The 13,651-nt window shown below is 34.9% G+C and overlaps 1 protein-coding gene across 4 annotated transcripts in view; it reads left to right on the top strand.

Moving 5' to 3' along the window:
* The window catches only part of SEC23A (SEC23 homolog A, COPII component), a 71,317-nt gene extending 58,601 nt beyond the window's left edge, over positions 1–12,716 (top strand). For 2 of the 4 annotated variants that reach the window (NM_006364.4, XM_005267262.2), the window contains 4 exons: positions 1,763–1,849; positions 3,748–3,903; positions 5,539–5,604; positions 11,307–12,716. In NM_006364.4, the coding sequence (NP_006355.2) occupies positions 1,763–1,849; positions 3,748–3,903; positions 5,539–5,604; positions 11,307–11,396 (399 nt within the window). In that variant the 3' untranslated portion in view covers positions 11,397–12,716. Of the gene's footprint in view, positions 1–1,762; positions 1,850–3,747; positions 3,904–5,538; positions 5,605–7,026; positions 7,189–11,306 lie in introns of those variants that run through there. The other 2 variants (XM_011536355.4, XM_017020928.3) reach the window with 2 other exon arrangements.

The raw sequence follows: 13,651 nt of genomic DNA, 5'->3' as shown, positions 1-13,651 counted from the left end.
TATTTTAACCTGTTATCAAATGAACCATTTTTCCATTCTGTAGTTAAAATGGTCTGTTTTACTACTTAAAAGTGTGTAGTTACTGTATTTGAAAATAGTAAGGTCAATATAAAGAGAATATTTACAATATCTATTGATTAATGATCCCTCATGATGCTATTATTCACGGTTTTGTAAAATAATGGGTAAAATATTTTATTTCGTTACAATGATTTTTTTGTAATTGGTCAAATAGTTTCTATTTTTCTAGGAAATATATATTTTTAATATGTTGGTTTGGCTATATGTATTTTGCCTTGTATTCTTTGAATCAGGAATGTTTTAGAAGTAACTTTTTTTTCTTCTGAGTAATAACGTGCATGTAGACATCTGAAAAATGTAGAATGGTGTTTAGAAGAAAATTGGAATCCCACTGTCCCTAGTGCCTGCTCCTATTAAATTTCAACCTTTTCATTTAATCCATGAATCCTATCAGCTTCATGTTCTTAGGGTTTTGCTTTTGGAGTTATCTTCTTTCTGTTCTATATAATTACTTTCTGTCCATCTGGATCATTCTTATTAATTAACATAGAAACCATAACAACAGTCAGGTTTATAACAAACGGCCAAAACACCCCCACCATGACCCACGCTTTCTCTAACTGCCACCCCATTTCTCTGCTCCTGGTGAGAGTTGAACTCAAAAAAGTTATTTGTTGTTTATACTTTCTCACCTCACATTGTCTTCTCAACCTATATAAGTAAGACTTTTGTCCCTAACATTATATTGAAATGGCTCTTATAAAGACCACCAATGTCCTACATCTCACCAGAGCTCTCAACAGTATTTACCTAGTCTTCACTAGTACTCAGCCCTTGAAAACCTTTTGCCCTAGGCTTCTGTGACACCTATACCTTCCTGGTTTTCCTCTTACTCACTCACCGTTCTTTCTCAGTCTTTTGCTAGCTTTTCCCTTTCAGACCTCTAAGTGTTGACATGCTTAAGGGATCAATCTTCTGGCTTTCCCTGTCTTCCCTCTCAGTGATGTAGTCTAATCCCATTGCTTTAATCTTTGTGCTTTAATCTTTGTGCATGTGACACCTAGATTTATGTCATCAGTTCAGACCACTCCCTTTCATTTCATATGCAGAACTATTTTCCCATGTGCTCCAAATTTGCTCTATCCCAGGCCTTTCCCCATTTAGGCTTAGGAGTTATCCTTGAATTCTTCTTGACTTTACTCTATTTTTAAATTGTTTGTTACCTCAGCTTAAAGGGATTCCTTAAAAAATTAAAATACACTATAAGAATTCATAATAGCAAGAGATTTTAGGTAATAAAATATAAATTTCAAATTTAGGCCATCATGGCCTAAGTTTCAAATTTAGTGCTGAGCCTGTAATCTCAGCCTTTGGGAGGCTAAGGCAGGAGGATCACTTCAGCCCAGGAATTTGAGACCAGCCTAGGAAGCATAGTGAGACCCCATCTCTACAAACAAAAAAATGAAAAAACTAGCTGGACATGGTGTTACACACCTGTAGTCCCAGCTACTTGGGGGTCTGAGTTGGGAGGATTGCTGAAGCCTGGGAGTTTGAGGCTGCAGTGAGCTGAGATCATGCCACTGCACACCAGCCTAGGTGACAGAGCAAGACCCTTCTCCAAAAAAATAAATAAATAAATAAATAAAAGAAACTTGGAAAATAACCTGGAAACATCTATTTTATATTATTGAGTAGATTATTTTTCCTTTTTCCTCATTTCTCATTGTTTTCTTTACGTTAGCCGGTTCTTCTTGATAGCAGTAGCATTCTTGCAGATCGTATTCTTCTCATGGACACATTCTTCCAGATTTTGATTTATCATGGTGAGGTAAGATTTCAATAGCATTTAAAGCTATGCATGTAAAGTCTTTTTACTTAGAAAGGTTTTCTTACTTCTAATTGTATGGCTAGTGTTTCATCTATGATAAACTTTGATTTCCATTTTTATAAAATAATAAAATATGATGCTGCCTACTATAAGGTTTTAGGCTTCAATTGCAGTTGACCCACATGTGATTATTTTATTCATTTGTCACACAATTGGATTTTGCGCAAAGCACAGTGTTGTGAAAGTAAGAACACTGACTGTACATAGACAAATGGCACTTTTGGGTTTTACCTGAAAACATTAAGGGGGGAAAAGTCAGCCTTTGTCAGTGGGCAGGCTTTCCTTTTACGTTATGCAATCATTATAAGTTATTATTAAGTGTTCTACATGATCTTGAAAACTCATTTAAAGCATACATGAATTAAAATTTGTAACTTCATTGGAATGGTAAATGATTACAGAGAGCAGAAGATTTTAGTAGCTATTAAGCTTTAATCCAGGTATTTAGCAGACCTTGATGCATTCCTGCAGTTACTCATTCAGCCAATTGTTAAGTGCTTCCTCTGGATGCTTTGGAAGATATAGATGTGTTCTTTTTTCACAGATCTGTTCTCAAACTTACAGTCTAGTGTTTTACTAAGTTCTGCAGATTTATTTTTTCAGTTGCTTTAATTGTAAATGATTTTAGATTTGCACTGTGACTGGGTGTGGTGGCTCACGCCTCTAATTCCAGCACTTTGGGAGGCCAAGGCAGGAGGATTACTTGAGCCCAGGAGTTCAGGACTAACCTGGGCATCATAGTGAGACCCTGTCTCTACAAAAAAATTTTTAGAAAAGATTTGTACTGTAATAGTAAAGACATTACTCAAAATATTCTTTGAAGTAGTACTACCCAGGACTTTTTTTTTTTTTTTTTTGAGACTCAGTCTTGCTCTTTCACCCAGGCTGGAGTGCAGTGGCGCTATCTTGGCTCACTGCAGCCTCTGCCTCCCGGGTTCCAGCGATTCTCCTGTCTCAGCCTTCTGGGTAGCTGGGATTACAGGCACATGCCACCACGCCCAGTTAATTTTTGCATTTTAGTAGAGACAGGTTTTCACCATGTTGGCCAGGCTGGTCTCGAACTCCTGACCTCGGGTGATCCGCCCGTGTTGGCTTCCCGAAGTGCTGGGATTATAGGCGTGAGCCATCGCGCCCGACCTACCCAGGAGTTTTAAAAGATTTAATTATTATTATTGTAAATTATTTTTAATTGATACCAGTTTCTAATGCCCTTTACTTGTTAAGAATAATACCTGTTTTAACTTCTTGCCTTTGTTAAAAAAAAAAAAAAAACCTGTAATACTGACAGGGCTTTTTTTTTTTTTTTTTTTTTTTTTGCTTTTTCTTTGTTTTATGGTGATTTTTACTTTTTCAAGTAGCTTGTTAAAGGAGAAATCAGAAATGCACATGATTGTTTTATACAGAGGTATAAAGCTATAAAAGAATGTGTTGACTGATTCAGCTAACTTAGAAAATAAACCAGGCATAAGTTTTTAGATGATTTAATTACATGGTGTTTAGAGCTACTTACCTATGGATTGATTCAATTGCTTTCACGTATCATAAGCTTAGGTAGATAGCTTTTAGCTAACATTCATTTGATAAGCATAGTGTTTTAAAAATTTTCTGACTTATGTAAGTATTCTTTCATTTTACTTTTAAAGGAGAAGAAATATTCTAATTTTATATTTATTAAGAATATTTTCTCTACTGAAATTGTAACTTTTAAAAAATTGAGGTAAATGGAATAATGGTCTATAATTTTTTTAGTTTCTAAAGATTATTTTCTTTGGAAAAATCTCAAGATTTTTGGATGGGCAAGAAATTTAAAGTAATTTCTTTAATTGTTTTAAAATTAGACCATAGCACAGTGGCGGAAGTCAGGATACCAGGATATGCCTGAGTATGAAAATTTCCGCCACCTTCTGCAAGCCCCAGTGGATGATGCACAGGAAATTCTTCACTCCAGATTTCCAATGCCAAGATACATTGACACTGAACATGGAGGCAGCCAGGTAAGTAGTGTTAATTTGTTTGTGTGTTTGTTTGTTGTTAGGTTTGCAGTGAGGTGTACCTGCTTGCCTTCTGATTTTAATAGATTGCTTCATAAAGCAGACAGAAAGGTAAGGAGATAGGTGGGGAAGGTATCAGTGCTTACTTTTTGCATTAGCTTTTGAGAGCAAAACAGTAAGATTATTGACTAGTTGCCTAAACCTGGCACTTTCCATCATCTTCTGTCTCTAGCCTAGCTTCCTGAACAGGGCCAGGATGGCATTGTGGTGGTATACTAGCTTTGGTTGAACAAGAAAATGTGAACAGCTTGGAAAGTAATATACTTTTCTTAAAGCCGTTTATTTACTGTTAAAGTCTATGAATATGACATTTGTGGTAACTTACATTTTTTCATTGTCTTCATTCTATCATTCCAATTTTCTAGAAAATAAAATTTTATGTAATAGGAAAACACTGTAGTATTATGAAAAGGTTTTGTGGCTTTTAGGATTTTGAGGATACATATACGTTAGATACATATACATACATACACAGTTGCTTTGAGACCTTCAGAAGGCTAAGTTAGGTTCCTTAACATACTCTCATAAAATACTTCTTACTTCTCTTTTGTAATTCTTATAAGAGTTATAATAAATTAATTATAAGTTGTTATTAATTTGTTTTACATGCTCTTTGAAGGCAGGGACTATGCTTTGTATTCCCTAGTGCCTAGTACGGTATTATAAAATAGGTAGCAAATATCAGTAACTGTTATTCAGAAATGATAATTACTATTAGTTTTACTGTATTTATATGAGAGTTATTTCATATTGAGAATTTGCAAAGTACTTCTGCATGCCTTATCTCATTTGATCCTCATAAGAATTCTAGTGTTATTTTCATTTAACAGATAATAAAACTGAGATCTAGGTTACTTATGGCCAAGGGAACACAGTAAATACAGGAGTGGGATTTGAGTCCTGGTACTCCAGGGCCAGTGCTCTTCACTGTTAGGTTAAACTGATTCCTTAGAGAGTAGAAAAAGATTTTGTATGATACTAAATTTCAAAAGATGTTACTGTCTATGTGCTTCCATTATGAGTTAAAAATCTTACTGGTTCTTTCATTGATGTCTCACTGTGTGTATTACCATTTTCCTCTTTTATTCTGGTTATTATTTTCATGATGATAAGCCATAGTGGGTAGAAGGATAAAATGTTGGATCACTTGTCTCATAGAATCACCTGTGGTTTAAGAAAGCTTAAGGGTCATTATTTTAAGCAAAAGAACATACAGATTTTCATGGCTTTTGTTTTTATCATTATTTGGGATTTTGAACTTCTGACCAAGTGTTTAGTAATTTCACACCAACCTTGTCATAATTGTTGCACACATAATTTTTATATGCTGAGTTTTGGACTCAACAATGTATTTGTTATTTTGGATGTATGATTTGGAGAGAAGAGGTGCATTTATTATTTATTTGTAACACTTAGTGACCTATACATTTCAAAGTTTAATCTTTTAAAAATTAAGTTAATAAAATTAATTTTACCAACACATACTAAATAAAATTGATTTTGCATGATATAATTATTCAGCTGATATTGACTGAAACCATTTTTGATGGATAATGTTATTTCTTCTTTGCTTTTAAGGCCCGTTTCCTCCTTTCAAAAGTCAACCCTTCACAGACTCATAATAATATGTATGCCTGGGGGCAGGTAAGTTTAAATAGCAGGTCTTGGAAATTATTTCTTTGTGTATTTATTGTTTATTATTTTAGTGAAAGCTACATTTTTTTCCTGTGTATTTAGTAATGGTTTCTGTTGGAAAAGTAATGTAAAAATGAGAGTAGAAAACAGAATTAATATTTGGCGACACCATAGGACAAAAGTGATCCTATCAAATAGACTCCAAGTTTAGCACTATACCCTTGAGACAAAAAGCAATGAAGTGTGTAAGACAGGAAGTGGTGACTCCAGTTTAATGCTAGGTTGTGAACCACAAAAGGCCACGATAAGCCAAGAGAGGCCAGGGATCATAGTTGAGAAGGAGGGGCAGGAACCCTGCAAATCATTATTGATATAGTTTAATTTGGTAAAAGTCCTGCTGGGTGTGGTGGCTCATGCCTGTAATCCCAGCTGCTCAAGAGGCTGAGGCAGGAGGATCACTTGAGGCCAGGAGTTTGAGACCAGCCTGGGCAACATAGCAAGACTCCATCTCTTAAAAAAAAAAAGTGTTAACCTCTTGGTATAACATATCAACATTTATTGAGTGTCCAGTATGTTTAGGACTTTGTATTGGCTCTTTAGGGTGCAGTTATTACCCATGCCTTTGGAGAGCTTGTAGTCTAATATTAGAGATAAAATACATACCTAAGTAAATTACAAGGCAGAATGGGATATTTGTCCTTAGAAAGCTATGAAGTATTACAAAGGTTAGAAGAGGAAGATGGCAAGAGGTCACATAGTGGTAGCAGGAAGAGGGTGTGTAATCAGAAAAGAGCTCAGAAAAAAGAAACATTTCATTTAAAGAATGGTTATTTCAGTAATTGGAAATTGCATGAGGAAGGGAAATCTAGGTAGAGAATAGTATGGGCTAAGATAAAAGACTACATGCAGAGCTGACTAGAAGAACATAAAACGGAAATGTGTTGTACAAGTAAATTGTGGAGGATCTTGAATGTCAGGTTGAGGAGTGAGAAGTTGAGTATTTATTTGGTAAGTAATGGAGAGTCATTGAAGGTGGACAGAGGGCAGATTTGAGTCTTAGTATAGTTGAATCTTAAGATTAAATGGAAGCAGTCTGTAGGTTGAAAGTATATTTACGAAAATAATCCAAGTGAGAGGGAGTAAAGGCAAGATGGTGAAAGGAATAGATTTGGGAGATATTTTAAAAGTAGACTCAATAGGACTTGATTAGAAGTTGCAGGAAAGTAATTATTCCAGGGCATGGCAACTATGCACAAAATCTGAATTCTGATTGAATCCTGGATTAAAGGGAGAGAATAGCTATAAAGAACATAATTGGGATAATTTGTGAGATTTGAATATAGATCATATATCAGATAACTAGTACAGAATTATTAAATTTCTTGAGAGTGATAATGGTGTGGTTATGTAGGAGATTCTTCTTGATCTTAGGAGATACATCCTGAAGTATTTAGGAATAAAATGTCATGATGGCTTCAACTTCCAGAAGTTATTCAACAAAAAGAAGAAAAAAGGAAAAATAATGTAGAAACATAAAGCATACGTGGCAAAATGTTAACAGTCAGTGAATGTAGGTATGCTATATGGGTGTTTATTGTACTTCTCTCTCAACTTTAATGTAGTCTTGAATTTTTAAAAAACAGGTGAGGGGAAACAGGGTATTTTGGGGTTTTAAGCCTGAGTGACTAGGAAAACATATGTCAATAAATGGGAGAGTGGAGAGAAATTGTTTGGTTTAGACACTGAGTTTGAGGTACTATCTAGAAGGCCTTATTGAGCCACAATAAGATGACCATATTGATTATGGCCATGTTGAGTGGGCTGTTGGCAATTTGGGTTTGATGGTCAGGGCAAGAATGAGAAAGGTGATAAAGTCATCACAGTAAATGCTTGTCTGAAGAGAGAGTAAAGAGGTAAAGGAGAGATGAGACAAAAACTTCAGGGGAGTACAAGTGGTAGGAGTGTTTAGTGAATTATCAGAGAGGCAGAATGAAAAGAATAGTATGTCATAAAAGGTGACTTTATAGAAGGAAGAAGAAGGAGGTAACAAACTGACATGCCGCAGACAGTTGAAGAGGGATACAGAGTGAGAAAAGGTGCTTGGATTTGATGGCTAGGAGGTTATTCGTGGCATTGTGTAAGCGGCTTTAGTATGGTGGTTGAGTAAGAAGATAAATTTATAAGGAATTAGTGGGTGAGAAAGAAGCGGAGGTCGAAAGTATAAATGATTCTTTTGCAAATTTAACCTGAGGATAAGCAGTAGGATAGGCAGATGATTGTTATTACGGTAAGGGCACAGAACTTATTTGGAGACCAAGCATAGGAAAGACACAAAAGAACAGATATTTAAGATCCTCAGGAGACAATATGATCATAAGCAGTATATGGACGTTAAGCATTGGTAAGGAGGCAGGGCACTTATTTCTGCAAAAGCAAAAGGTAAGAAGGGTGAAGACAGAAAGGTTTTTAGGTGGAGTGAAAACTCACATTGGATAATTGCCTGTTTCTTTTCAATAATATGAGATTATTTAGGAGTGAAAAAGGCTGGAGTTAGGGGCCAAAAAAACTAGAAAAGATTAAAAACAGTTCTAAAGAATACAAAAATCAACTGAAGATTAATAAAACGCTTTTGCAGCAGTGGTGAGGGCCTATTTTATTTACTAAAAATATCTAGAGCATGCTTCCATAATGTTCTTTTTTTTTTTTTTTTTTTTTTTTTGAGACGGAGTCTTGCTCTGTTGCCAGGCTGGAGTGTAGTGACGCGATCTCGACTCGCTGCAACCTCTGCCTCCTGGGTTCAAGCGATTCTCCTGCCTCAGCCTCCTGAGTAGCTGGGACTACAGGCACACACCACCATACTCAGCTAATTTTTTTGGTATTTTTAGTAGAGATGGAGTTTCACCATGTTGGCCAGGATGGTCTCGATCTTCTGATCTCGTGATCTGCCCACCTCTGCCTCCCAAAGTGCTGGGATTACAGGTGTGAGCCACTGTGCCTGGGAGTATCCATGAATAGATTTTAATTGTTTCATGAGGGCGGAACCCTTATGACCCAGTCACCTCTTAAAGGCCCCACCTTTATACTGCCACATTGGGGATTTTCAAAATGAGTTTTGGAAGGGACAGATATTCAAACCATAGCACCGTCCTACAATTGCATGATTGAATTTGTGTAATATCCCTGTCCTGTCATCCCTTTTCCCGCCTCCATTTTTTATGGCATTGCTCCTGTTAGATTATTAATTACTTGAGGCAATAACTGTCATTTTCATTTTTGATTTTCCATAGGACCTTAAACATAGCATATATTGAATACAATAGATCTGGACAGGAGAGAGCAGAGATTAGAATATTGGAAATCTGTGGAGGTGGCTAGGAGTTAAGAGTTTTTGTAATATAGGTAAATAAATTGAATCCCAGGTCCAAAAGTTCTAAAAGTTGGGGAGGTTATAAAAAGTAATCTTGGAAGGGTGGAAGGCTGGTAATGGAAAATGCAGACTCTGCAAGTTACTTGACTTCTCTTTGTTTTCACTTCCTTGTCTATAGAGTTTAATAAAACATGCTTGAAATGGACAGTAATACTCAGTAAATGTTAGCTATTAGTTTTCACTATTATCAATGGAAAAAAAAGTCACTTCTTATATTTAACATGGGAAAGGAAACCTATTTTAAACTCTGAAGTGTAATTGTTACTGCCTGGAAGTAGGGGCATTACAGGCATAAATAAGAGTGCTCAGGTCTTTCTTAAGATTTTTATGAGTAATGATGTCAATATTTTAATAATCATAATATCTAATACACTGAATCTACTGTTTTAGTCACTATGCTTTTAGTGTACTCTCATTTAATTAACTTTTATAAGGTGGATACTAGTAATCCTATATTTCATGAGAGGAAATTGAGGCTCATATAGATTAAGTATTTTATGCAAGATCATGTAGCTAAACTGTGGCAGGGTCTAGATTTTAACCAAGGTCTAACTCCAGACTCTGAATTTTTAATCAAGTTAATTTGATGATTGCATTTAAAGGAAATAACAGTAACCAAGAATTTTACTAAAAATTAATGGACTCTAATAGCTTACAGGATTTTTTGGGGGTCAGAAATCAAGGACCCTATGATAAGTATTATCCATGAACGGCCGTAAGAGGGCACCACTGCAACACTTCTGTGACAGTGCTGGAGGCCTCTGTTGCTGTAGTGCCTCATATACTAAATAATGTAAAGCTTGTACCTTTCTGCCTAATCCTGGATATATTTTAAATAGAAAAAGGGTCCATTTGAAAAGTTGAGATCAGCTAACTGCTAATTTTTTATAAAATCGAATGAGCATTGGTATTTATCATTTCAAGCAGGAGCTCTGTGGTATATAAATTAGGAAATCCTTATATTTTGTCTTGACTAGGAGAAATGGCTCTGAGATTGGGTGACTTGAGATGGAAAACATTGTAAAATGAAAATAAAATCAGGCATAGTTACAGGAAGAAAAAAGTAAGAGCCATGAGGTTGTTACTGGTTTAGGTTACAGTTTTGAGACTTGTGCTTTTCTGTGTTAGCTATGCATATAGAATAAAGAAAAGTATTTCATTGTTATAGATTTTTGAACAGGAGGAACAATAGAAATAGCTAAAACATGTATGTCTACTGTGTGTACTAGGTACTGTTCTGTTTGCTTTATAGAATTTAACTCATTTAATCATTACAACAACTTGTGTAAGATAGGTCCTGTTATTATCCTTGTTTTACACATGGGGAAACTAAGACATAGTTTAAATAACTTATTCAGTCATATGGGTAGGAAGTGGCAGAGCCAGAATTTGAGCCTAGGCATTCTGGATCCAGACTCTATGCCCTTAATCCCAGTAAGGGATTGCCTCCCTTCATTATCAAATCTTTCAAGTTCTTTTGAATAAACATATGATAAAATTGATTTCCCTTTATTCAGGAGAGGTTATGGCATGTTTGTGGCTATGCCAGACTAGAATCACAGGAGCTATAAGTTCTCATCTCACATTTGCCAATAATTTGCTGAAATTACTTAATTTCCCTGTTTTAGACTTTGAATATTTATAATTAATAAGAACTTGAGTATAAGAAGAAAAATGTAAAATTCAGATTAAAAATCTTCTAGAAATACCTTCTCTTGCTGAAGTAAAATTTCATTGTTAATGGATTGGGTTACCAAGATCATTCTGTCAATACAGTTTTTATTAAAATGGATAATAGGAATTTTCCCTAACTCTTGTTAATTACTTGGAACCTACAGAAATCAATTAAAACGACCTGAAAACTTGAGAAGCATAGTTTATTTAAAAAATGATATTATGAGTTTGCTTCCTTCCAGCTGGGATTTCTCTTAAAATGCCAGGGAGAAAGGGTCTGGAGGTCAGGCTTTCTTTTAAAAGCACCAAGCCTCTAATTCCATTGTTAGTCTTCGTGGTGACTAGCCGCCATCCTGATTCATCTCATCTCATAGCATAAACTCCTATGTGATCCCATCAGCCTATGAATAAAGACACTCCTATTATCAGGGAATTCTAAGGATGTAGAGTCTCCCTCCCAGCAACCAGGGACGGAGGCCAGTTAGATTCTTTTTATTTAATAGGACCATAGGCATTTCAAATGATTTCCTTGTCTATTTTAAACATTTGTGTATAAATTCCATGATATCACCCTATGCTTTAATCATAACAAATATCTTTTTTCCTCTAGGAGTCTGGAGCACCTATTCTTACAGATGATGTTAGTTTACAAGTGTTTATGGATCACTTGAAGAAACTTGCTGTGTCCAGTGCTGCTTGAAGTGCTAATAATGTTAAAGACACTTAAGAAGATGAAATAATATTCAAATTTCATTTTTTCCTTTTTCCATTTATCTGTGGAAACCAACAGATATTGCTCTATATTTTTTGTATTAGTATGGTTTGAGACAACATATGGAAAATGTTCACATTTGTAGATTAAGCTGGAATTATAATGAGAGCAATAAGAACAAATTTATTTTGCTTACCACAGTGTTATAGCTGGTTCTAGAAATTTGAAGTCTTTATAACTTAATTATGTTTAATAAAAAATAGAGTCTGCCTCGTACTACAGATGTAACTCATTTGTATATTGCAGACAGACCCAAAGTGGCACTGAATTTTCTTGCTCACCTTTTAAAAACTTGTTCCTTAATTTTAGCCAGAAAGCAAAAAAACAATAGTAATGATAAATGTGAACATTTTTGCTTATTCATTGAATATTTTTCTGTAATTTTCAGCACTTATGTATACACTTTTTCTGTACTTACTAGGTTAAGGCAGATTTATTTTTATGATTTGTTTAGGAATTATTTGATTTTATAATGGTAATTTTCATGATGATAATGTTTTTGGTTATTTGGAAAGATAGTTTAGAGATGAAAGGTTTTTTTGGGTAACAATCCCGCAGCTGACAAAAAATGTGAAATTTCCACAAAATATCCAACTTATGTGACTAAACGCAGTAGTTTTTTTAAAAGGGGAGATAGAAAATAAATGGTTTTGTTGGAGTGCATTTTAGTAAGCCTTTGCAGTAAAATGACGGTTGTAACTACTAAACCAAATTTAGTTTTCACAGCATGGTTTTGTTGTTTTCCCCTTGTTTTTCAGAGGTAAATTTTGCATTATATCCTTCAGTATTTTAACACTATTTTGGCAGTTTACACATTACTTTTTGTTTTTCCTTCCTTTTTGTGAAATGTATTAAGTTGTGGTTCTTATTGAAACAGTATTATATAATGTTTGCTTAATTATATCATGTGATGCTCAGTTCTATTTTGATTTATTCATTAGTATTCACTTTTACCTTTAAAGTTTACTTGTAGCAAATATGTTTACATTGATAAAGCCAGATATGTTTTGACAATGAAATTTACATATCAAGTACTGCAAATAAAAGGTGGTGCTATGATATATGCTTAGGAGGACAGTTTTAATGATTGTACTTGCATGAACACAATCATATGATGGTAAAGCAGAAACTTAAGAAAAAATTGTTTATGTGTTATATTCAATTAGCTTAAATAAGTTGCTTTGTTATATTTTATTTGAATTGAACTACGCTAGGCCTAAATGCCAATAAAATATACTTTTCACTGTTTTTCTGGCTATTTTGAAATCTAGTAAAACCTGAGAAGCCTAATGTAAAATTAGAGTATTTAAAATCATTAGATTTAAAAGCTACTCATTTAAAAAATAACAACTTTAAGATATAATTCACACATCATACACTTCACCCACTTAAAGTGCACAATTTAATAGTTTTGAGTATTTTCGTGAAGTTATGTATGTAACCACATCACCACAATCAATTTTAGAGTATTTTTTATCACTCCCAATAGTTACTCATTTTTGTTGTAAGGCTAGTGTGTTTTTAAAAAGGGAGATAGAAGTTCATGTAGTTTTTTGTTGTTGTTGTTGTTTGAGACAGAGTCTTGTTCTGTTGCCCAGGCTGGAGTGCAGTGGCACAGTCTCAGCTCACTGCAACCTCCACCTTCTGGGTTCAAGCGATTCTCCTACCTCAGCCTCCCAAGTAGCTGGGATTATAGGCGCCTGCCACCACACCTGGCTAAGTTTTGTATTTTTAGTAGAGATAGGGTTTCACCGTATTGGCCAGGCTGGTCTTGAACTCCTGACCTCAAGTGATCCACCTGCCTTAGCCTCCCAAAGTGCTAGGATTACAGGTGTGAGCCACTGCACCCAGCCAAGTTCACGTATTTTGAATTGAGGAAAGACATTGTAATGATGACACCTGTTTAATTTGCTTGGCCTCTTAAGTTATGTTCTTTAAGTGCTTGGCCTCTTAAGTTATGTTCTTAAGTGTTGTGCCATTGTTTCTTGTCTTGGTACTTAGCCCTAAACTGTCCTCTACTTCTAAATCAGTTACAGCTGAATTTAGGGATAAGGATGAACAAATATACCCTTTTAGTTCACCATTTAAAAGCAATCACCTGGGATCATTTTTGTGTATAATGTGTCTATTTCTAAATTATTATCTACCTACATAGACTGTTGAATGTTTAGCCCTGTCTTAGT

This window comes from Homo sapiens, chromosome 14 (genome assembly GCF_000001405.40).
Source record: "Homo sapiens chromosome 14, GRCh38.p14 Primary Assembly".
NCBI classification, from domain to species: Eukaryota; Metazoa; Chordata; class Mammalia; order Primates; family Hominidae; genus Homo; species Homo sapiens.
Note: the sequence above shows the minus strand (reverse complement) of the source record. Positions and strands in the feature narration are given on the sequence as shown.